Here is a 26,961-nt window from a genome sequence, read left to right as displayed (position 1 = left end):
GACTAACCATAGGACTATAGAATGATACTTCACCCCTACTTCATTATACCACTGCGTCACTAAATTCTTACCTACCACAATTCCTTTTACTTAGCACATTATCTCTAGCTTCTATTCAAGATTACAGGACATACAAAAAGGCGAACAACACAGTTTGAAGACAAAAAGTAAAAATCAGAACAATATTCAGATATTGCAAAAATGTTAGAAGAATGAGACCAGGAACATTAAACAAAACTATCATTAATATGCTCAGAGCTCTAACAGAAAATGTATGCAACATGCAATGAGAGATAAGTAATGTAAGCAGAGAGATAGAAATTCTAAGAATAAAAAATAAATCTTAAAGGTAAAAATTATAAGATAAATGAATGCCTTTGAAGGGCTCATTCGTAGATTCAGTTCAGCTTAGGAAAGAATCTGCGATCTTAAAACTACGTCAATAGAAACTTCCAAATCTTAAAAGCAAAATAGTTACTACCTATACAGAAGTAAAGACTAGACTTATATCCAACATCTTCTCAGAAACTATGCAAGCAAAAAATAATAATAATAAAGAAAAATATTTAAAGGATTAAGAGAGACAAAACAAAACCACCAACCCAGAATTCTGTATCATGCAAAATTATTCTTCAAAAGTGAAGGAGAATAAAAACTAAGTCAAACAAAATTTGAGAGAATTTACTACCAGTAGGCCTTCTTTGCAATAAATGTTAAACAAAGTTGGTCTGAGAGAAAATAAATTACATGAGTCAGAGGCTTTGGCCTACATAAAGAAAGGAAGAGTGGTGGAAAATAAGTAAGAGAAAGCAAACCAAAAACTTTTACATTTCTTATTTTTACTTGATCTAACAGATAACAGTTTGTTAAAAATAATAAGGGCAACAATGTATTCATAATTTTAGCTTATGTGTTAGTGAAACACTGACAGTAATGACACAAGGAATGAGATAGAATAATTAGGAATACTGTGTTATTATAAGTCTCTTGCATGACTTATGAACCAGTATAGTGTTATTTGAAAGTGAATTTAGATTAGCTGCAAATATACGTTACAAGCTCCAGGACAATGACTTAAAAAAGAGAAACCAAGAAAAGAAATGTAATTGTTATGCTAAGAAAGATGAGAAAATGCAATCATATAAAGTGCTCAATAAACCATGAAAGCATAAAAATGTGGAAGACAAAAATAAGAACAAAGACAATGTAGCCAATATGGTAGATGTTAGTCTAATTATATTGATGATTACTTTAAATATCAGTGGCCTGAATAATCCAATTAAAATATCCAATTAAAAGACAGATATTGTCAGCGTGGATCACAAAACAATACTCAACTACATGTTGTCTATAAGTAATACACTTTAAATATAAAGACACATATATTTTAAAAGTAAATGGGTGGGCGAAGGTATACTATGCTAAATGTAATCAAGTGGGAATAGTTATATTAATTTTAGACAGCATACTTTAGAGAAAATATAATTATTAGAAATTAAAACAATGTATTTCCTAATAATAAAGAGATCAATTATACATGAAGTCATAGCAATTTTTAACATTTTTGTGCCTAAAGGGCACAAGACACATGAACCATAAATGGATAAAACTGCAAGAAGAAATAGATGAATTTACTATTATAGTTAGAGACTTCAACATTGCTCTCTCAGAAATGGAGATAAACAACAGACAAAAACCTTATAAGGACATATTTATACTCAACAGCATTATCAATCGACTGGAAATTATCCACATCTTTAGACCACTTTATCCAACAACAGGAGAATACACATAATTCTCAAGCACCCCTGGAATAGTCACCACGATTGTTCACATTCTGGGCCGTAAAACACATTTTATGAAATTTAAATTATAAAATTTAAAAGAATACAGATTATATAATGTATGCTCTTGGATGATGATGAAATTACACAAGAAATCACAACAGAAAGTTAGCTGAAAAACAAACAAAAAAAATCAGTATTGTACATACCAGTAGTCCCCAAACTGAAATATTTAGGTATGGACCTAACAAACTGTGTACAAGATCTTCATGAGAAAAACTAAAACAAATCTGATAAATGAAATCAATTAACTAAATAAATGGTGAGATATTCCATGCTCATACATAGGAACTTAGTATTGTCAAGATGTGAATTCTTCCAAACTTGATCTACAGATTTAACTCAATTCCCATCAAAATCCCAGTATGTTACCTTTTTTGGATATTGACAAAATTATTCTAAATTTTATAGGGAGGGGCAAAATATCAAAAATAGACAATACAATATGAAGGAGAAGAACAAAGTTAAAGATCTGACACTATCTAATTTCAAGATTTACTATGAATCTTCAGTAATTAAGAGAGTGTGATACTGGGAAAAGAATAGACAAATAGATCAATGGAAAAGAATAGAAAGCCTAGAAATATGCCCTCTCAAGGATATGTCAGTTACCCTCAAAGAGTACAAGAACAAGAAGAGCAAAAAGTAGAAGAATCTAGACACAGACTGTGTGTGTTTCACAAAAGTTAACTCAGAACGGATTGTAGGCCTAAATGTAAAATGCAAAACTATTAAACTAAACTCCTAGAAGATAACATGAGAAAAAAATCTAGATGGCATTGTGTTTGGCAATTGCATTTTAGATACGACACCAAAAATATGATCCATGGTAACTAGACTTCATTACACAGTTGATCCTGGAACAACATGAATTTGAAATGAGTGGGTCAATTTATACACAATGTTTTTCAATAAATATAGTTGGCCCTCTGTGTTAGCAGGTTCTGCGTCTAAAACCAAAAATTAATAAAAATATGGTGTTGTGAGGTGCTAAACCTGTATATATGGAAGGCCAAATTTTGTAAGTGTGGGTTCCACAGGGCCCACTATGAGACTTGAGTATGGAGAAATTTAGCTATGTACAGAATGTCCTGGACCCAATTCTCTTTGAATAAAAACTTATGTTCTGTGAAAGGCACCATCAAGGGAATGAAAGTAAAAACCACAGATTGGGAGAAAATACTTGCAAAAGATATATGAAAAATGACCATTAAGCAAAATATACAAAAACCTCTTAAAACTCAATAATAACTAAGTGAGTAGCCCAGTTAAAAATGTTTAAAAGGTATTTTCTACATCAGAGGGAGAAATCAGATATGCATATGACTCAGAGGCAAAATGGTCTACTAGATGCAGTTGGGAGTAACATTTGCCACCGAGGAACCAGGACATTGAAAAGACTGGCAAACTCCCAGAAGATCTTCAGAAGGAAGGCATTGAAAGTGTATAAAGGGAATACACAGATGGTGGGCTAAAGTGGGAGGAAGCTGGAAATCCTGCATGGGACTAACATGCACCAGGACTCATTCCTAACCCCCAGTGACTCCTCGGGAAAGCGTGGGTTGTGCAGGCAAGAAGAAACTGGCTATTGCCATTGGTCTCTGCAAATCTGCCATTAGGAGAGTCCATGATCCTCAAGGCCACTTGAGCTGGCAGGTAAAGCTGCATAGAGAAGTGGTGGGAGCAGAACTCTACCTAGTACTGAGCCCAGAGGGGTTAGTGTGGGAGCATCTGTATTGGAGCACAGCCAGGGTGCCAATATTCAAAGGCTTGCCTTGCTCCCGTAGGAAACTTTAGCCCAAGGGAAATTGTTGAACCCAAACAGAAGGGTGGTCTTGCCCACAAAATGGGGCTGGTCTGACCTGAGTACCCCTCAGTCTGCTGGCCTCTCCCGTTGCCTCAGACTGTCCACACCTGCTTGCAGTGCTGCCTCAGATGCCCAGATAGGATGCGTCTTGGGGGCCCACGTTATAGCTTGTGTGCTGGAGAGCCATACTTGACTGATGGAGAGCCCAGTAGAGCACTCCCATGGATGTGCACCAGCCCATACATTCTGTCTCCCCACCACATCCTCCCCTGAGCTTCTTTGCCTGCAGGCACTTGCCCACAGCCACCCTCACCATTGCTTTGCCAGTGAGTATGCATGCAGGTAGACCTCACCACCCCTTCCCTGCTTGTGCACATGTATGTGCACCCCACTATGTCATAGCTGTTGATATTAGTGCACACAACCCCACTCCCCTGATGCACCTTCATTGCCATCAGAGCCTTTATGAGCATGGAGACTGACAGCTGCATGACTGCCAGTGACCCGTCCCCATGTTAACACTGCCACCAGTGCAAAACTACTCAGAAAGACCTGCAGACAAACCCCCAAACTTAGCAGCAGCTGCTGCCAATTTGAATACATGCATGAAAGCACACACGGTCCTGTGCCAGCCGGCACACCACCCCTGTGCTAACACCATTTCTGGTGCAAATAAACATACAGACAGCAGCAAGGCCCCTATCCCGCTACATAATGCTGCCACCACTGTCATTGTGAATGACTACAAGGCATCTGGCACCTGTGCACCTGCCAGCTCCCCACTGAAGCCAATGAGCATGCACCTCACTGTGCTGCCACTGCCACTGGCACATGAAAACAAGGATAAGTCCCTTTGCTACCAACCTATGAAGCCCTGTGGCTGGCACCACACATTGGGGTGTTGTGATCAGAGGTCTGGGAAAAATATGGCCACTCCAGTGTGGCATGGAAAGTTCCTAACCTCCAAGGGACACAGCACAAAGCTGGGGGGCCAATGACAGTCCTACAGAGTTGGAACATGCAGTCCAAGAGTCCTGAACTGAACCTTGGCTCAAGAAAATATTCCAGAAATGAATACAGTCAACTTATCCTATCTTATACCACAATGAAACCCACAAGGACATCAAATAAAATAATAATTAAAAAAATCCAAAGGTCAGCAGCTTCGAAGATTGAAGAAACATCAGCCCACAAAGATGAGAAAGACCTAGCGCAAAAACTGTGGTAACTCAATAAGCTAGAGTGTCTTCTATTTCAAAATGACTTCACTGGTATCCCAGCAATGGCTCCTAACCAGGTGGACATGGCTGAAGTGACATAAATAGAATTCAGAATATGGACAGGAATGAAGATCATAAACATACAGAAGACAAATGAAACCCAAGCCAAGGAATTTTATTGTAATCTAAGGATTGCAAAAAAAATTATACAGGAGCTGATAGACAAAATGGCCATCATAAAAAATGAATGAAACTAATATGATAGAGCTGAAAAACACTCTATAAGAATTTCATAATGCAGTCACAAATGTCAACAGCAGAAATGACAAAGATGAGGAAAGAATCTCAGGGCTTTAAGGCTGGCTATCAGAAATAACTCAGAGAAAAAAGCAATAAAGAAGAATTAACAAAACCTCTGAGAAATATGGGATTATATAAACAAACCCATTTAATGACCCATCGATGTGCCTCAGAGACAGGGAAAGAAACCAAGCGATTTTGGAAAACATATTTCAGGATACTGCCCATGAATATTTCCCCAACCTTGCTAGAGAGGCCAACATTCAAATTCAAGAAATACAGAGAAGCCCTGCAAGATACTACACAAGAAGATTGTCTTCAAGACACATAGTAACCAAATTCTCCAAGTTTGAAATGAAAGAAAAGTGTTAAAGATAGCCAGAAGGGAAAAGCAGATAACCTACAAAGGAAACCCCATCAGGTTAACAGCAGACCTGTCACCAGAAACCCTACAAGGCAGAAGACATTGGGGGACTATATTCAGCATTCTTAAAGAAAAGCATTTTCTACAAAAAATTTTATGTTCAGTCAAACTAAGCTTTATAAGTGAAGGAGAAATCAGATCCTTTTAAAAAAAGCAAATGCTAAAGAAATTGTTACCACCAGACCTGGTTTACAAGAGGTCATGAAAATAGTGCTAAATATTTTTAAAAGACCATTACCAGCCACTACAAAAACAAACTTAAGTACATAGACCAGTGACACTATAAAGTAATCACACAAATAGATCTCATAAAACCAGCTAACGACATGATGACATGATCAAATGTACACACACCAATACTAACCTTGAATGTAAATGTGCTAAATGCTTCAGTTAAAAGGCACACATTGGCAAGTTGGATAAAGAAGCAAAACCCCATAGTACACTGTCTTCAGTAGATCCATCTCACATGTAATGACACTCATAGGCTCAAATAAAGGAATGGAGAAAAATCTACCAACCAAATGGAAAACAAAAAGCAGCAGGATTTGCTATCATAATTTCACACAAAACAGACTTTAAACAAACAAAGACTAAAGATGACCAAAAATGATAAAGAAGTGCATTACATAATGGTACAGGATTCAATTCAAAAAGAAAACCTAAATATCCTAAATATAAATACACTCACCACAGGAGCACCGAGATTCATAATGCAAGTTCTCAGAGACCTACAAAAATACTGATTCTCACACAATAATAATTAGAGACTTCAATACCCAACTGACAGCATTAGATAATCAAGGCTGAAAATCAACAAAAATATTCAGGACCTGACTTAATACTTTATCAAATGGACCTGATAGACATCTACAGAACTCGCCATGAAAAACACAAAAGAATAAACATCGTTTTCATCACCACATGATACACACTTTGAATCAACCACACAATTGGACACAAAACAATCCTCAGATTATTAAATAAAAAAAAGCTTAAAATACCAACTACATTCTTGGACCACTATGCAATAAGAATAGAAATCAACCCTAAGAAAATTGCTCAAAATCATACAACTAGATGAAAATTAAACAACTTGCTCCTGAATGCCTTTTGAGTTATTAATGAAATTAAGTCAAAAATTAAGAAATTCTTTGTAACTAATGAGAGAATAGATAAAACATACCAGAATCTCTGAGACACAGCCAAAGCAGTGTTAAGAAAAAGCTTTATAGCACTAGATGCCTATATCAAAAAATTAGAAAGACTTCAAATTAACAACCTAACTATGTCTAGAGAACCTAGAGAAACAAAGAAAACTAATCTAAATCTAGCTGAAGAAATAACCAAAATCAGAGCTAAAATCAAGAAAATTATGATGCAAAAAAATATATATTTTATAAGTACCCAGGAGCTGGTACTTAAAAACTTAATAAGATATTTAGACCATTGGCTCTTGCTAAACTAATAAAGAAAAAAGAGAGATGATACAAATAAACACAATCAGAAATGAAAAAGCAGATATTACCACTAATCCAATAGAAATACAAACCAAAAAAACCCCATAGAGACTATTATGAATTCCTCTATGCACATAAGTACACAAACTTAAAGGAAGTAGACAAATTCCTAGACACACACTACATCCCAAGACTGACCCAGAAAGACACTGAATCCCTGAACAGACCAAGAATGCATTCCAAAAATTGAATCAGTAATAAAAAGCCTGCCAACCAGAAAGAGCCCAGGACTAGAGGGATTCACAGCAAAATTCTCCTATATGTATAAAGAAGAGCTTGTACCAATCCTACTCAAACTATTCCAAATAATTGAGGAGGAGGGATTCCTTCTCAACTGATTCTATGAGGCCAGCATCATCTTGATACTAAAACCTGCTGGAGACACAACAAAAAAGAGATAACATTAGGCCAATATCCTTGATGAACACAGATGCGAAAATTCTCAACACAATACTAGCAAACCAAGTCAAGCAGCCCATCATAAAGCTAATATACCAGGATCAAGTAAACTTCATTCTTGGGATGCAAGGTTGGTTCAACATATGTAAATCAACAGAGGTTATTTATCACATAAATAGAACTAAAAACATAAACCACATGATCATCTCAATAGATGCAGACAAAGTTTTTGATAAATTCAACATCTCTTCACATTTGAAGCCCTCAACAAAAGAGAAATTGAAGAAACATACTTCAAAATTATAAAAGCTATCTATTAAAAACCCACAGCCAACATCAAACTGAATAAGCAAAAGCTGGATGCATTACCCTTGAAAGCCAGAAGAAGACAAATATGCCACCTTTCATCACTCCCATTCAACATGGTCCTGAAAGTCCTAGCCAGAGCAATCAGGCAAGAGAAAAAAATAAAAGCCATCCAAGTTGGAAAAAAGAAAGTCAAACTCTCCCTTTTTGCAGATCACATAATTATATATCTAGAAAAACCCCTTAGTCTTGACTCAAAATGCCCTTCAACTGATAAAGAATTTCAGTAAAGTTTCAGGATACAAAATTAATGTAAAAAATCTGTAGGATTCCTATACTCCAAAAGCATCCAAGGTAAAAGCCAAATCAAGAACTCAAGCATATTTGCAATAGCAACAGTAAGAATAAAATACCTAGGAATACAGCTGACCAATGAGGTGAAAGATCTCTACAATAAGAATTACAAAATCTTCAATGCCACCCCCATCAACCTACCAGTGACTTTCTTCACAGAATTGGAAAAAACTACTTTAAAGTTCATATGGAACCAAAAAAGGGCCCCCATTGCCAAGACAATCCTAAGCCAAAAGAACAAAGCTGGAGGCATCACTCTACCTGACTTCAAAATATACTACAAGGCTATAGTAACCAAAACAGCATGGTACTGGTACCAAAGCAGAAATATAGACCAATGGAACAGAACAGAGCCCTCAGAAATAATACCACACATCTACAACCATCTGATCTTCGACAAACCTGACAAAAACAAGAAATGGGGAAAAGATTCCCTATTTAATAAATGGTGCTGGGAAAACTGTCTAGCCATATGTAGAAAGCTGAAACTGGATCCCTTCCTTACATCTTATACAAAAATTAATTCAAGATGGATTGAAGACTTAAATGTTAGATCTAAAACCATAAAAACCGTAGAAGAAAACCTAGGCCATACCATTCAGGACATAGGCATGGGCAAGGATTTCATGTCTAAAACACCAAAAGCAATGGCAACAAAAGCCAAAATTGACAAATGGGATCTAATTAAACTCAAGAGCTTCTGCACAACAAAAGAAACTACCATCAGCATGAACAGGCAACCTACAGAATGGGAGAAAATTTTTGCAATCTACTCATCTGACAAAGGGCTAATATCCAGAATCTACAATGAACTCAAACAGATTTATGAGAAAAAAACAACCCCATCACAAAGTGGGTGAAGGATATGAAGAGACACTTCTCAAAGAAGACATTTTTGCAGCCAACAGACACATGAAAAAATGCTCATCATCACTGGCCATCAGAGAAATGCAAATCAAAACCACAATGAGATACCATCTCACACCAGTTAGAATGGCAATCATTAAAAAGTCAGGAAACAACAGGTGCTGGAGAGGATGTGGAGAAATAGGAACACTTTTACACTGTTGGTGGGACTGTAAACTAGTTCAGCCATTGTGGAAGACAGTGTGGCAATTCATCAAGGATCTAGAACTAGAAATACCATTTGACCCAGCCATCCCATTACTGGGTATATACTCAAAGGATTATAAATCATGCTGCTATAAAGACACATGCACACATATGTTTATTGTGGAACTATTCACAATAGCAAAGACTTGGAACCAACCCAAATGTCCAACAATGATAGACTGGATTAAGAAAATGTGGCACATATACACCATGGAATACTATGCAGCCATAAAAAATGAGTTCATGTCCTTTGTAGGGGCATGGATGAATCTGGTAACCATCATTCTGAGCAAACTATTGCAGGGACAGAAAACCAAACACTGCATGTTCTCACTCATAGGTGGGAATTGAACAGAGAAAATGCTTGGACACAGGAAGGGGAACATCACACACCGGGGCCTGTCATGGGGTGGGGGTAGGGGGTAGGGATAGTGTTAGGAGATATACCTAATGTAAATGACTAGTTAATGGGTGCAGCACACCAACATGGTGCATGTATACATATGTAACAAACCTGCACGTTGTGCACATGTACCCTAGAACTTGAAGTATAATAAAAATAAATAAATAAATAAAAATAAAAATCCAAGTAGAAAGCCTGTAAAAAAAAAAAAAAGAATTACAAAATCATGCTGAAAAAAATCAAGTGACACAAACAAATGAAAAACAAAAAAACTCCATGCTCATGGATAGGAAGAAATAATATTGCCAAATTGACCATACTGCCCAAAGCAATTTACAGATTTAATGTTATTCCTTTCAAACTATCAATAACATTCTTCACAGAACTAGATATCTATTTTTAAATCCATGTGGAACCACAAAGAAGCTCGAATAGCCAAGGCAATCCTAAGCAAAAAGAATAAAGCTAGAGACATCACATTACCTGACTTCAAACTATATTATAGGACTACAGTGACCAAAACATCATGGTACTGGTGCCAAAACAAACATGATGACCAATGGAACAGAATAAAGAGCTCAGAAATAAGGTCACACACCTACACCAGTTTGATCTTTGACAAAATTTATAGAAACGAGTGCTGGGAAAAGGATTCCACATTCAATAATGGTGCTGGGAAAACTGGCAAGCCATATTCAGAAGATTAAAACTGGACCCCTTTATTACACCATATACAAAAATCAATAAAATGAATTAGTGACTTAAATCTAAAACTAATACCTATAAAAACCCTGGAAAAAAAAAACTAGGAAATACCATTCTAGACATAGGACCTGGTAAAGACTTCATGATGAGTCACCAAAAGCAATTGCAGCAAAAACAACAATTGATAGATGGGACCTAATTAAATGAAAGTGCTTCTGCACAGCAAAAGAGAGAAATGATCAAAAGAGTTAACAGACGACCAACAGAATGGGAGAAAACATTTTCAAACTATGCATCCAACAGAGATCTAAGATCCAGAATATGTAAGGAAATTAAACATATTTACAAGCAAAAACCAAACAAAACTATTTAAACGTGGGTGTATCAGTCCTTTTTCACGCTGCTGATAAAGACATAGCCGAAACTGAGCAATTTACAAAGGAAAGAGGTTTGTTGGACTTACAGTTCCACGTGACTGGGGGGGCTTCACAATCATGGCAGAAGGCAATGACGAGCAAGTCACATTTTACTTGGATGGCAGCAGGCAAAAAGAGCTTGTGCAGAGAAACTCCCATTTTTAAAACCATCAGATCTCGTGAGACCCATTCACTATCACGAGACCAGCAGGGAAAGACCTGCCCCTATGATTCAATTATTTCCCACCAGGTCCCTCCCACAACACATGGGAATTATAGGAGCTACAAGATGAGATTTGGATGGGGACACAGAGCCAAACCATGTCAGTGGGCAAAGAACATGGACAGGCAATTTTCAAAATAAGACATTAGTGCAGCCAATAAGCATATAAATGAATGGTTAATATAACTAATAATTACATAAATGCAAGTCAAACTAGTATGCCATATCATCTCACACCAGTCAGAATGGCTATTATTGAAATGTCAAAAAATAACAGATGCTGGTGAGGCTGTGAAGAAATAGGAATGCTTATGCACTACTGGCAGGTATGTAAATTAGTTCAGCCATTGTGGAAAGCAGTTTGGCCATATTTCAAAGGATTAAAACAGAATCATCACTTGATCCAGCATTCCCATTACTGGGTATATACCCAAAGGAATATAAATTGTTCTACCATAAAGACACGTGCATGCATATGTTCATCACAGCACTATTCCCAATAGCCAATACATGGAATCAACCTAAGTGCCCATCAAGTATAGACTGGATAAAGAAAATGTGGTACATATACATCATGAAATATTATGCATCCATATAAAATGAGATCTTGTATTTTGTAGCAACATGGATGGAGCTGGAGGCCATTATCCAAAGTCAACTAATGCAGGAACAGAAAACCAAATACCACACGTTCTCACATATAAGTGAAAATTAAATATTGAGTACATATGGAAACAACAAAGGGAACTATAGACACTGGGGCCTACTTTAGGGTGGAGGGTGAGAAGTTACTAAAGATTGTAAAATCTATCAAGTACTATGCTTATTACTTGGGCAATGAAATAATTTGTGCACCAAATCTCTGTGACATGCAAGGTACCTATGCAGCAAACCTGCATATGTATCTTTGAACCTGAAATAGAAGTTTTAAAAATGTTTAAAAGGTATAAACAGACATTTCGCCAAAAATGTTACACAGGTGACTAAATAACCATATGAAGAGATGTTTAACACAGGTGTCATGAGGGAATTACGATTAAACAACAATGATATCTCAGTAGATACCTATTAAAATGCCAAATTTAAAATACAACAACAAATGTTGATGAGGATGTGGACCAACAGGAACTCTCATTCATTGGTGGCTGGAAGGAAGAAGGAAGAGTCCAGTCACTTGGAAGAAAGTTATAGCAGTTTCTTATAAAACTAAATATACTCTTATTAGGTTGGTGCAAAAGTAATTGTGATTTTTGCCATTACTTTTAACAGAAAAACCACAATTACTTTTGCAGCAATCTAATACAATCTAGTAATCACTCTCTTTGTTACTAAAAAAAAAGTAATATAAAGGAATATAAAGTAGTAAAGAAAATCTATGTCCATTATGCTGAATTAACTAAGCCAGTAACAGAAAGACAGATATTATATGACTTCACTTACATGTGAAATCTAAAAATGTTTATTAATTCATTGAAGTAGAGAGTAGAATGATGGTCACCAGAGGCTGGGGGTAGGTATGGGGAAAGAAAAGATATTGGCCAAAGGGTACAAAATCTCAGTTAGACAAGAGGAGTAAATTTTAGTGTTCAATTGCAGAACATGTTGACCATAGTTAATAATAGTGTATTATATATTTCAAAATTGCTAAAAGAGTAAATTTTAAATGTTTTCCCAAAGGGGAAAGAAAAGATAAGTAGGTGGAATAATGAATACGTTAATTTGCTTGATTTAATTATTCCACCATGTATACATATATTTAAAAATCACATTGGACTACATAAATATATACATATATTTTTAATTAAAATGTTTAAAAAGAAAATCTATTTTCACACAAATATCTGCACACAGATGTTTATAGCAGCTTTATTCCTAACTGCTACAAATTGGAAGCAAGCAAAATCTTCTTCAGGAGGGTAATGAATGAACTGTGGTTCATCTAGAATCTAGACAATGGAATATTATTTAGTGGTGAAGAAAGTGAAGTATGAAGACATGGAAAGATATAAAACAAAACGGCAGAGAATAATCAAGTTATGTCTCTTTCTTCTAGAGCCAGGATGGTCTTCTTCTTCTGACCTTGAAAATCAGAGTTCCAGATTCTTTTTTTTTTTTTTTTTTGAGACGGAGTCTCACTCTGTCGCCCAGGCTGGAGTGCAGTGTCGTGGTCTCGGCTCACTGCAAGCTCCGCCTCCCAGGTTCACGCCATTCTCCTGCCTCAGCCTCCCCAGTAGTTGGGGCTACAGGCGCCGGCCACCACGCCCACGCCCAGCTAATTTTTTGTATTTTTAGTAGAGACAGGGTTTCACTGTGTTAGCCAGGATGGTCTCGATCTCCTGACCTTGTTATCTTCCCGCCTCGGCCTCCCAAAGTGCTCGGATTACAGACGTGAGCCACGCACCTGGCTTTTTTTTTTTTTTTTTTTTTTCTCCAGGATTCCCACCAGTGGCTCCCTGGGCTTTTGGACCTTCAGCCTTGAACTGAGAGTTACACCATTGTCTTTCTTGGTTCTGAGGATTTTGGACTCAGACTGAGCCACATTATTGGTTTTCTTGGTTCTGTGTAAGTTAGGGTGTTTACTGTTAAAGTAAGAGCAATTACTGGGAAAGAATATGACCCTCCAAGTTGAGATGCAGATGTGAGGGATGACTCTATTGAAGCTGCAAACATTGTGCTCCCAAATTCTGATGAGTATTTTTTTTGCCAGTGTAGGTGGGCTTTACACTTTATTTTTTAACAGCTTTTCCAAATCTAATAGAGTTGTATGAGCCTTTTTGCCCCTGTTCCAGGGAATTCACTCTGCATTGCCTGAGGAAACGATAATGAATTCCCCTAAGGCAATTTCCAAGAAAGGCAATGCTGGCTGTTTTCAAGATTCACTTCTTCCATTCTCTTCTATTTCTAAACTAAACTCAAAACTCATAACTAAACTCAAAATCCAGCAGGCCACTAAAGGTGAGGTACAAAGTGTGACACACTCCAAAATATGCCACACTCCAAAAGAACTATTTGAGTTTTCTAATTAATACAAGCATAAATCTGGGGAAGATGTGGAGGAATAGATATTAAGGGTGTAGGAGAATGGCGGAAGGAACATTTAGTTGAATCAGGCTAAATTTATTTATATGGGCCTACAAAGCAGAGATTCTACATTTAATGTTGCAACTCAGTGAGTTAGAAAAGGCTTCAACAGTTTGTTTGCTTGGTTGGCTGAAACATGGATCAAAAGATGGCCCACCATGATAGAGTTCAAGATGCCCAATATTCCTTAGTTTAATGTGGAATAAAAGATTTAAAGGCTTAAGGAGACTGAAATGCTAAAATGTATTTGTCACTTAAAACTCACTCATTCACAGTTAGAGGGTTCAGAAGACATATCTTTCAAGAATACTTTGAGAAAGATTCGTGAATGGTACCCTAGCATTCTTGAAGAGCTTCGTGACTGCTCTTCTCTGTAGGTCAGACCTTACAGTGGAAACTGCAGTCATTTAATTAGAAAACATAAATGTGATGGGAATAGTTGGGTCTCAGTGTTGCAGGGACCAGTTGGCAGCATTTACCACCAAAGTCAAGGTAGGCATAGTTACCATAATGAACAACAGAGGTGGAGCAACAATCAGAATAGTCTGACTGACCAAGTGTAGTGGATCACGACTATAATCCCAGGGCTTTAGGAGGCTAAGATAGAAATATCCCTTGAGGCCAAGATACCAAGACCAGCCTGGGCAATAGAAGTGTGACCTCCGTCTCTCCAACGGAAAAGAAAAGATATATTAGCGTAGTGTGGTGGTGTGCATGTGTAGTCCCAGCGACTCTGAGGCAAGAGGAAGGAACATTGCTTGATCCCAGGAGTTTATGGGTGCGGTGAGCTAGAATTATGCCACTTCACTTAAACCTGGGTGACAGAGTTGATCCTATGTCAGAAAAATAAATATTAATTACAGTCTGACTTATGTAGAATTATGGCATTGGTAATTGATTATGATGTTTCTAGAAATGAAATAGGAATTCTCACTTAATCTTTATAAGCAGAAAACTTTCATGTTAAATGAACAAATATCTAATTCAAATTGTAAAAACAGAAAACCATTGTCCCTTAATCAATTCCTGATAAAGCATTATCTACTTCAATCATTGCATTAACTATTGTCAATGCTTCAGTAAGTACTAAGGCTGTTCCTCTTCTGCCAAAAAAAAAAAAAAAAAAAAAAGAAAAGAAAAGAAATACAAAACAGGTTGTTTGGCATTCTATTACAATGATTGGGCCGTCCATGTGTGTCTGCGAGGGTGTTTCCAGAGGAGATAAGCATGTAAGTCAGTGTACTGAGTGGGAAAGATTCACTCTCAATGTGAGTGAGCACCATACTGTCAACTGCCAACCAGAATGGATTAGAAAGGCAGAAGAAGCATGCATAGTTCTGCCTGTCTCTTCCCCTAGTTGATACACCCTCCCTCTCTTGCCCTTGGACTTGAGAACTCTGGGTTCTATGGCTTTTGAACTTCAGGACTTGCAACAATAGCCTCTGGACTCTGGGCTTTGGCCTTGAACTGAGAGTTACACCATTGGCTTCTTTGATTCTGTTGCCTTTGGACTTGGACTGGGAGCCATGCTAGCTACTTTTCTAGTTCTTCAGGTTCCAGATGGCATATTGTGGAAGTTCTCAGCTTCCATAATTGAGTGAGCCAATTCCTTTGATAAATCAATCAATCAATCAATCTATCTATCTATCTCTATATATATCTATATAGACTATATATATATCTATATAGACATACAGATTGATAGAGTTATATAGATATCTGGAGAACCTTGACTAAAAGAGTAGGTGAATGACTAAATAAATTGTGGTTCATCCAGACAATGAAATATAATTCATCACTAAAAATAACAGATATCAACACATGAAAATACATAGAGTAACTTTAAATGAATATTAACAAGTGAAAGAATTCAAGATAAAATGATACATACTTCATTATTCCAACTATTTGACATTCTTAAAAAGGCAAAACTGTTAAAAAAGTATAATAATCAATGTTTCCCAGGGGCTACAGGAGAGGGACAGATGAATAGGCAGAACAAAGAAGATTTTTAGGGCAGTGAAACTATTCTGTATAATAAAATATTAGATACATGTCAATACAAATTTGCCAAAACCCGTGCAATTTACAGAACCGTGATTGAATCCTAATGTAAACTATGGGCATTGGGTGATAATAATAAGTTAATGTAGGTTCATAGGTTGTAACATATATACCACTCCTGTGTGTGACGTTTATAGTAGAGGAGATTCTGCATGTATATTGGAAGGAGGTATATGGGAGCTCTCTGTTTTTTTCTTCTCAATATCACTGTGAACCTAAAACTGCTCTAAAAATAAAGGTTTTTTTTCTAAATAGAAGACTCATTTTTAATATAAAAATACAACCATCCTACAACATCTAATTTTACTTTTTAATTAGCTAGCTCAGTTATCATTCATTTGAGAAAAACATGCTAATCTATTCCAAGAAAGTCCTTTGATGTTTGCTTTTAATTTTTTAGCTTTTTCCACTGAGACTTAATGAAAAATTTTTAAAATAATCTTTGACTTTTGACAGCTTGAAAATATTTTCCATTTTTCTTTTGTCTCTGTGGGTTTTAATTTTAACATTTTATTTAACTTGTCATACTAGGTTTCTGTGTATTATTTAAATGAGTATAATTTATCTGTTACATTTAGTGATTTGCCTGCTATTGGGGGAAAAATCATTTTCATATCTCAGCATTTCCCAAATTTTTTTGCATAGAATATTTTAGATAACCTTTTATAAAAAGAATAGGACATGAATTCTACATTGTGAATTAACCATAGTCTTAATAAATCAAAAATATTTTTTGTTTAGTGCCGTTTAACACTTATGGTATAGCTAATATTTCTGAGCAATAAATTACTACAATATACAACAGCTTAAAATAATCATTTTATTATGCCATGAAGTCTTTGGATTTTAAATTTGAATAGGGCATAAAAGGAAAGGATTATCTTTGTTTCTCTCTGAAGGTGAGTCAGATGCTGGGGCAGGAATCATCTGAAACTGTTTTCACTCATATGCCTGGCAGTTAATATTGGTAATGGCCTGGGAACTTCACCCACAAAATCTAAAAGATTCACTATATGGATTTTCACAGATAAACTTTGCTGACTCTTAGTTTAGATTATTGATTTAAAAACCTTTTTATTTTCTCTTATAAGCATTTTAAGCTATAAATTACTCTCTAATTACTCATTTACTGTGATCTACATATTTATTAAACATTTTAATATGAAAACATAATCGCAAAACAAGTGAAATAATGGTGCAGTAATCATTTATATTTTAACTTCCTAAATTTTAAAGTTAACATTTTGTGTCCCAATAGACCTTATTCCCACCACATATGCATGTAATCCTAGCTATGGGAGGGTAACCGGACCCTCTCAGGCTCTGAGCCTAGTAAAAGAAGCTGCCTAAAGTCTACACAACTACACTATACCAGATAGAAAATTCTCACTAGATCTGACCTACCCCCACGATCCTAGCTGCTGCAGTATGGCACCATTTGGCCCAATGGAATCAATACCAAACCATATCTTGCCCCGGAGACCAAGAAACCTTGCATCTCCAAATCCCCAGGATCACACCAATATTACCCAATATCCACAAAAAGTGTGGCAGCATCACAACACTAGCTAAATATGACAGTGTGCCCATGTTCATGACATCCAACCTACCTAATGCCCTACACCCCAGAAAACAGATGGTCCAAGACCTCAGGGTTGTTACCTTCAGAAAACAAGAAGCCAAAACTTGTGCTTTCTATAGCCTAAGAGCTGCCTCTCTGGGGCTGTTGCCACCTACCGTAACCAGGCCTTCTCAACAGCAGGGCTGCCACGCATCAACACATGCCATTGTCACTTAGAAATTCCAAACCCAGCCTGTATTGATCACTGTAACCAATACTACTGGCGCCCACATGCACTATGCAAGAATCTGATCACTGGCCTGCCTGGCCCACCACCACAACAACCAGTGTTCATGCACCCTAACTAGGGATCTAAGAATTGGCCCACCTGGGACCTTCTTCTGCCACTGCCCAACCCAATGCAACTTGCCTGCTCCCCAGCACCCACACACACACAAAGAAAATAACCAGTCTGACTTAAGCCTCTCACCAGTACAGCTGGTCTTCAGGTGTATCACAGGAGCCTGAGAACCAGCCTTCTCAGTGTCTCTGTCCCCAGCAAAGCCTCATCATTGTCTCTACCAGCATCCACAGCCTAAGCCACTGAGAAACTCATAGACACCACTGACATTGATTACAGACCAAAAACAAAAATTATATGGGGATTACATTATGGCTCCCACTCAGAACTGAAACCAAAATACCCTACCAAACTAACATTGTAGATACAACTGCAGGAAAAAAATTTCCTTATGAAAGCTACTCCATAAAACTGGAAAAAAAATGACTGTTATACCAGATGTAAAGATATTGATGTAGAGACACAAGAAATACAAAAGGCGAGAAAACATGACACCTCCAAGCAACACAATAATCGCCAACTAATAACAGACCCCAAAGAAAAAGAAATTGATAAAATGCTATAAAAATAATTAATAATTATTATCTTAGGAAAACTCAGTGAAATTAAAACACACACACACACATAAATAACACAAAGGAATCAGAATACATGATGTGAAGAAATTTTAAGTAAAAGATGTCATAAAAGAGAATAAAACAAACCATGAAACTAAAAAAATCAATGCATGAAATAAAACTACATTAGAAAGACTCAACTATAAAATAAATTAAGCAGAAGGAAGAATTTCTAAACTTATAGACACGTTTTTTTACAAGAATACAGTCGGACAGAAGAAAAGAAAACGGAAAGAGAATAAAGAAATCCTACATGACATATGGAATACCATCAAGCAAACAAACGTATTCCTTGTTGGCAGCTGTAGCAGAAGTAGAAAAAGGCATAAAATTTTCAAAAAATAATAGCTGAACACTTCCTAAGTCTTGAAATAATGATACATAGATGATAGATAGATAGATAGATAGATAGATAGATAGATAGATAGACAGATAGATAGATAGATAGATGATAGAGGAAGGTCAAATATTTCTAAATAGATTCAACTCAAAAATGTCTTTTCTGATGCACATTAAAATCAAATAGTCAAAAGTCAAAAACAAAGAGAGATTTCCAAAAACAGCAAAAGAATAGTAAGCCACGTAAAAGGGAATATCCACCAGAGTAGCAGCATATTTCCCAGTAGAATCCTTACAGAACAAGATAAAATAGTATATTCAAAGTGCTGAAAGGGAAAAATTTTGAGCCTGGAATACTATAACTAGCAAAGCTTTTTTTTTTTTCTTTCAGAAATTAAAGACAAAGTTTTTCAAAGACAAGCAAAATCTGAGGAAATTAATCTCCACTAGATTGGCCCCATAAAAATGTTAAAAGTACTCCTACATTTGGGAAGAAAAGAACAATATATATCACTATAAAAACACAAGAATGTATAAAACTCAGTAGTAGAGCAGATATACATATGAGAAAGACAAAATAATTAAACCTTATAAGTAGAGAAAATGGCCAAATTGCAATGAGAAACAATAAGAGGAAAAATAGGAAAAAGAATATACAAAACAATCAGAAAACAATTAACAAAATAACAAGAGTAAGCCCTCACCTATCTATAAGAAGCTTAAGTATAAATAATTTAAATTCTCAGATAAATGTGTATAGGCTGGCTGAGTGGATAAAAGAAAAAGACTCAACTATATGCTGCCTACAAGAAATTCACTTTACCTTTTTAAGTGAAAAGAACAAAGATATTTTACGCAAACAAAAACCAAGAGCATGCAAGAGTAGCTAGGAGTAGCTATACTTATGTCAGAAAAAGTAAACTCCAAGTAAAAAAAAAAAACACATAACAGGAAGACAGAGAAGGTTATTGTATAATGACAAAGGGATCAATTCAGCAAGAGGGTATGAAAATTATAAATATTTATGCATTCAACACCAGAGCACTAAGGCATATAAAGCAAATACACTTAATGCTAAAGAGATAGACCCTGATATAATAATCATTGAGAATTTCAACTTCCTGCTTTTGTATAGGACGAATCATCTTGACAGAAAATCAACAAAAAATATTGCACTTAATATGCAATATAGACCTGAGATTGTTAGGCTTTGTGTCCCCACTCGAATCTCATCTTGAATTATAATCCCCATAATCCCCACATGTCAAGGGAGAGACCAAGTGGAGGTAGTTGAATCATGGAGGCAGTTTTCCCCATGCTGTTCTCATGATAGTGAGTGAGTTCTCAAAAGATCTGATGGTTTTATAACTGTTTGGTAGCTCCTCCTGCATTGATTCTCCCTCCTGCCACCTTGTGTAGAAGGTGCATTGCTTCCTTTTGCCTTCCACTATGATTGTAAGTTTTCTGATGTCTCCCAGCCATGCGGAATTGTGAGACAATTAAACCTCTTTCCTTTATAAATTACCCAGTCTTCGGAAGTTCTTTATAGCAGTATGAGAACAGACTAATACAGGCCAATGGGATCTAGGTAAAAATTTATAAAAAAAATTTCTCCAATACCTGTAGAATACACATTCTTATTGTCAGAACATTGAACATTCTCCAAAATAGACCATATGTTAATCCACAAAACAAGTATAAACAGCTATAAAAACTCAAAGTAATATCAAATAACTTCTCAGACCACAATAAAAAAATCCTGGAAGTCAACAACAAATAAAACTCTGGAAACTGTCCAAATATTTGGAAATTAAACAGCATGCTCCTGAAGGACAACTGCATCAATAAAATAATGATAAATATAAATAAAATTAATGATAAAAATAAGGATAATGAAAATATGGCATGTCCAAAGCTATGGGATACAGAAAAAGCAGTAATAAAAGGGAAGTTTATAGCAATAAGCAACTATATTTTTAAAAGTATGATGATTTCAAATAAGCAACCTAACATTGCACATGGAGGAACTAGAAAAGCAAGAAAAAGCCAAACCACAAATTAGTAGGAAAAAAAAGAAGAAATAAAGACCAGAGCACAAGTAAACAGAAGAGAAACTAAAATAAATAAATAAATAAATAAATAAAATAAAAGGTCAACCAAATTAAAATTGTTTTTGGAAAGGATAAAATCAAACCATTAGTTAGAATAATTAAATAAAAAGAGGCAATATCTCTATAAATAAAATCGGAAAGAGAAAAGAGGATATTACAACTGACACTACAAAAATACAAATGACCACTAGTGAATGCTATAAACAAATATACACCAGCAAATTATAAAACCTAGAGAAAACAGGTAAATTCATGGATATATATAAACTACCAAGAATGAAAGAGAGAAAAACAGAAAACCTGAACAGACCAAAACATGTACTAACATTGATTCAGTAATAAAAAGTTGAACAACAAAGAAAAGTCCAAAACAAGATGGCTTTACTGCTCAATTCTACAAAACTTTTAAACACGAGATAACATCAACTCTTAAAGTATTTAAACAAACTGAAGGCAAGGAAATTCTTTCAAACTTATTTTACAAGGACAGTATTGCCCTTATAGCAAAACTGGAGTATGATACCACTTTTCCCCTCACCAAAAAAAAAAAAAAAAAAAAAAAAAAAGAAAAAGAAAAAGAAAAAACTACAAGCCAATAACCCTGATGAACATAGACGTAAAAATCGTTAGGAAAATAGTAGCAAACTATATTCAACAACACATCAAAAAGATAGCATCCCCTGAGCATGTGGAAATTATCCCACAAATACAAGCATGGTTAAATATATGTAAATCAATAAATGTGGTATATAACTTCAAGAGAAAGAAATTAAAAAAAAATGATCATCGCAACATACACTAAAACCATTTGATGAAATTCAATACCCCTTTGGGATAAAAGCTCTCAACAAATTGAGTCTAGCAAAACATACCTTAAAACAATAAAGGCCATATATAACAAACTCACAACTAACATCACACTGAATGGGGAAAAGCCAAAAGCCTTTCTCTAAGAACTGCAACAAGAAAAGAATGCCCACTCTCACCACTCTTATTTAACATAGTACTGGAATTTCTAGCAGAAGCAATTGGGCAAGAAAAAAAACAAAGAAAATTCAAATTGGGGAAAAAAATGAAAGTCAAATTGTCCCTCTTTGCAGAAAAACCTACAGACTCTTCCAAAAACTCTTAGAACTAATTGATAAACGAATTAAGTAAAGTGACAGGATACAAAATCAACATACAAAAAATAACAATTATAATAGTTTCAAAAAAACTAAAAATAAATTAACCAAGGAGATTAACTATCTATACAATGAAACCGACAAAAAAAGGATAAATAATTCATAAGGACACATAAAATAATGGCAAAACATCTGATGCTCATGAATTAGTATAATTAATACTGTAAACTTGACCATACTTTCCAAAGCAATCTACCTATTCAATTCTTATCAAAATATTAATAAAAATTTTCAAAGAAATATTTTTAAAAAACTTCAAAAAGTCATGTGGAAGCACAAAATGCCCCAAATAGTAAGACCAATACTGACAAAAAGAACAAAGCTGGAGGTGTCAAAGTACCTGACTTTAAATTTACTGCAAAGCTATAGTAACAAAAACAACATGTTATTGGTATAAAAACAGACACATAGACCAATAGAACAGAATAGAGGACACAGAAATAAATCCATGTTTATAGCCAACTGATTTTTTTACAAAGGTGCTGAGGGCTTACAGTGGGCAAAATACATCATCTTTAACAAATGATTCTGGGAAAACTGGATATCCACAAGGAGAATGAACCTAGACCCCTGTGTCTAACAACATACAAAAATCAACTCAAAATGCATTAAAGACTTAAGCTTTGAAACTACCAGAAGATAATATAATGGTAATCCTTCAGGGCATTAACATGTGCAAAGATTTTATAAGTAACACTTCAAAATAACAGAAAACAAAACCAGAAATAGACAAATGGGAATATATCAAACTAAAAATCTTCTGTATAGCAAAGAAAAAAAAAGAGTGAAGAGAAAACCTGGAGAATGAGAGAAAACATTTGTAAACCATCTATCTAACAATAGACTAATAGCTAGAATATACAAAGAACTTAAACAACTCAACAGCAAACAATAATAATCATTGTCATCTGACTAAAATTAGACAAAGGATCTGAACAGATATTTCTCAAAAGAAGACATACAGATGGTCAACTCTATATCTATATTTTTTTTTTTAAAAAAAGCTTCTCTAATCTTTAGGAAAATGTGAATTAAAGCCATAAGGAAATATCATCTTAGTCTAGTTAGAATGGTGATCAACAAAAAGACAAAAAGAGAAATTAGTACTAGCAAGAATATGGAGAAAAGGAAACTCTTATACACTGTTGTAAAAATGTAAATTAGTAAAGGCATGAAAAACAGCATGGAGGTTTCTCAATAAACTAAAAATAATACTGCCATATGATCCAACAATTCCAGTGCTGGATATTTATTCAAAAGAATTATAATAAATACATTAAAAACATATCTGCTCCATCATGTTTATTGTAGTTTTATTCACAATTGCCAAGATATGGAGACAACCTAAATGTTCATCAGCAGATGAATGATGTAGTTTTAGCATATATACAAAATGGAATATAATTTACCTATAAAAAAGAAAGATTATTTTATTCATGGCAACATGGATGAGTCTGAAGGACGTTATGTTAAATGAATTATACAAAGCACAGAAATAATTACCGCATGTCCTTACTCACATGTGGGAGCTAAAAAAACAACATTGCACCCAAAGAAGTAGGCACTAGATCTGTGGTTATTCGAGAGTTAAAATGGTGTCAGGGAAGACGATATACAGTGGTTAGTTAACAGATACAAAGCTACAGCTAGATGAGAGATGAAAGTTCTGGTGTTCTATAGGAATGTAAGGTAAATATAGTTAAAAATAATTTAGTGTATATATTTTAAAAAGCTAGAAGAGAGGATTTTGAATATTCACAAAACAAAAAATTATAAATCTTTGAAGTGATGGGTGTGCTAATTACCCTAATTTGGTCTACCAATTTTATATATGTATTAAAATATTACTCTGTGTCTCATAAATATGTACAAATATTATGTGCCAAGAAAATACAGAAAAGAAAGAATAGAGCTAAAGCCACTCGAAAAAAAATTAAATGAACAGTTTCTTATATTTTCCCGGTTACGTATTTATACCTATTTCTATTTTTTCATCAATACATTTTACTTTTTCATGTATTTAAGAGAAATTTTCAGACACCTCAAACATCTATGCATATAATAAACTTGAATTCAATAGGAGATAATAGTTCTTTTTATGGGAAGGTAATATTTATAAAAAGTGTAATGTACAATTTCTATGTATACCATTTAATGAGTTTTTAGAGGAGCTTTATTGAGATATAATTTACATATTATATTATTGACCCAATTAAGTTGTACAGTTCAATTGTGTTTAATATAGTTAGAGATATTTACAAGCATTAGCACTAATTTAGAACATATTAATCACCTGAGAAAGAAACTATATTCTTTGGCTACTACTACTCTATTTTCCTTCCTCCCCTCCCCCCACATCTATAGGCAAATATTAATCTACTTTCTGTCTTTATATATTACCCTATTCCTGACATTTTATATAATTGAGATGATATAATGTGTGGTTACTTGTGTCTGGCTTTTTCACTTAGCATAACATTACCTAGGTTTATATATGTAGCAGTTATAATTACTTAACTTGTAATGGCTGAATAATATTTCATTAAAGGATATATCACATTTTACTTATCCATTAATCGGTGGATGAAAATTAACAATTCATATGTTTATTCACTGATAAATGGAGAAGCAAAATGTGGTATATCCTTTAATGGACAATTATTGCTATAAGTATTCATGTACAAATTTTTCCATGAACATATGTTTTAATTTCTCTTGGGTGTATACTTAGGAGTGCAATTGATTAATTGTGTGGCAGTTATAAGTGCTATCATTTGAAGAACTATTGAATGTTTTCTATAGCAGCTGCATCATTTTACATTCCCAAGAGCAGTATATGAAGGTTCTGTTTTTCACAATGGTTGAACTAATTTATACTCCCATGACAGTGTATATATTTTTCTTTGTCTCCGCAACCTTGCTAGCACATGTTATTTTTTAACTTTTTAATACTAGCCATTCTGACTGGTGTGAGATGGTATCTCATTGTGGTTATGATTTGCATTTCCCTAATGATTAGATATGCTGAGCATTTTTTCATATGCTTGTTTGTTGTGTGTATCTCTTCTTTTGACAAATGTGTGTTCATAGTCTTTGTCCACTTTTAAATGTGATTGTTCATTTCTTGCCTGTTAACTTGTTTACGTTTCTTACAGATCCTGCATATTAGACCCTTATCAGATGCATAGTTTGCAATAACTTTCTTCTGTTTTTTAGGTTGTCTGATTAATCTGTTGATAGTATTTTTTTTTTCCTGTGGAGAAGCTCTTTAGTTTAAGTAAGTCTATCTTATTTTAATTCTTGATTTTGTTGTGATTGCTTTTGGTATCTCGGTCATAAAATCTTTGCCTATTTCTATGTATATAATGGTATTGCCTAAGTTGTTTACCTGGTTGTTTATAGTTCTGGGTTTTACATTTAAGCTTTAGTCCATGTTGAATTGATTTTTGTATATGGTGTAAGTAAAAGGTCCAGTTTCAATCTTCTGAATATGGCTAGCCAGTTATTCTAGCACCATGTATTGAATAGAGAGGCCTTTCCCCATGTAATGTAATTAGACTTTTGTCAGATGGGATAGATTGTAAAAATTTTCACCCATTCTGTAAGTTGTCTGCTTACTCTGATAATAGTTACTTTTGCTGTGCAGAAGCTTTTTAGCTTAATTAGATCCCATATGTCAATTTTTCTTTTGTTGCAGTTGCTTTTGGCTTTTTTATCATAAAATCTTTGCCTGTGTCTATGATCTGATTGATATAGCCTAGATTTTTTTCCAGGGTTTTTATAGTTCTGGGTTTTACATCTAAGATTTTAATCCATTTTCAGTTAGTTTTTGCATGAGGTGTAAAAAAAATTTAAAAAGTCCAGTTTCAATTCTCTGCATATGGCTAGCTAGTTTTTCCAGCACAATTTATTAAATAGGGGATGATTTTCCCAATGCTTGTTTTTGTCTGGTTTGTCAAAGATCAGATGGTTGTATATGTGCAGTTTTATTTCTGAGTTCTCTACTTTGTTGCGTTGTTCTATGTGTCTGTTTTGTACCAGTACCATGCTGTTTTGGTTACTGTAGCCTTGTATTATAGCTTGAAGTTGTGTAGTATGAAGCCTCCAGCTTTGTTCTTCTTGCTTAGGATTGTCTTTGCTATATGGGCTATTTTGGTTCTACATGAATTTTAAAATAATTTTTTTCTAATTCTGTGAAGAATGCTAATGTTAGTTTAATGAAAATAACAATTAATCTATAAATTACTTTGGCCAGTATAACCTTTTTTACAAAATTATTTTTTTTTCTATCCATGAGCATGGAATGTTTTTACATTTGTTTGTGTCCTCTCTGATTTCCTTGAACAGTGGTTTGCAGGTCTCCTTGAAAAGGTCCTTTACTTTTCTTGTTAGCTGTATTCCTAGGTATTTTATTCTCTTTGTGGCAATTGTGAATGAGAGTTCATTTATGATTTGACTCTCTGCTTGCCTGTTGTTGATGTATAGAAATGCTTGTGGTTTTTGCACATTGATTTCTTATCCTGGGACTTTGCTGAATTTGCTTATCAGCTTAAGAAACTTTTGGGCTGAGTTGAGGGGGTTTTCTAGATATAGGATTATGTCATCTGCA

At 34.9% G+C, this 26,961-nt stretch overlaps 1 long non-coding RNA gene across 1 annotated transcript in view, besides 1 other annotated feature; it reads right to left on the bottom strand.

The window, feature by feature from the left end:
* The window catches only part of LOC107985710 (uncharacterized), a 71,824-nt gene that overhangs the window by 17,160 nt on the left and 27,703 nt on the right, over positions 1-26,961 (bottom strand). The window lies entirely within an intron of this gene.
* Positions 18,049-18,549: an enhancer, noted in NCBI's record as "H3K27ac hESC enhancer chrX:94142296-94142796 (GRCh37/hg19 assembly coordinates)". NCBI's record gives its function as "activates a minimal SCP1, AML or CMV promoter by ChIP-STARR-seq in primed H9 embryonic stem cells {active_cell/tissue: H9 hESC(primed)}" and the evidence as "EXISTENCE:reporter gene assay evidence [ECO:0000049][PMID:30033119]".

Source organism: Homo sapiens, chromosome X, assembly GCF_000001405.40.
Source record: "Homo sapiens chromosome X, GRCh38.p14 Primary Assembly".
NCBI lineage: Eukaryota > Metazoa > Chordata > Mammalia > Primates > Hominidae > Homo > Homo sapiens.
Note: the sequence above shows the minus strand (reverse complement) of the source record. Positions and strands in the feature narration are given on the sequence as shown.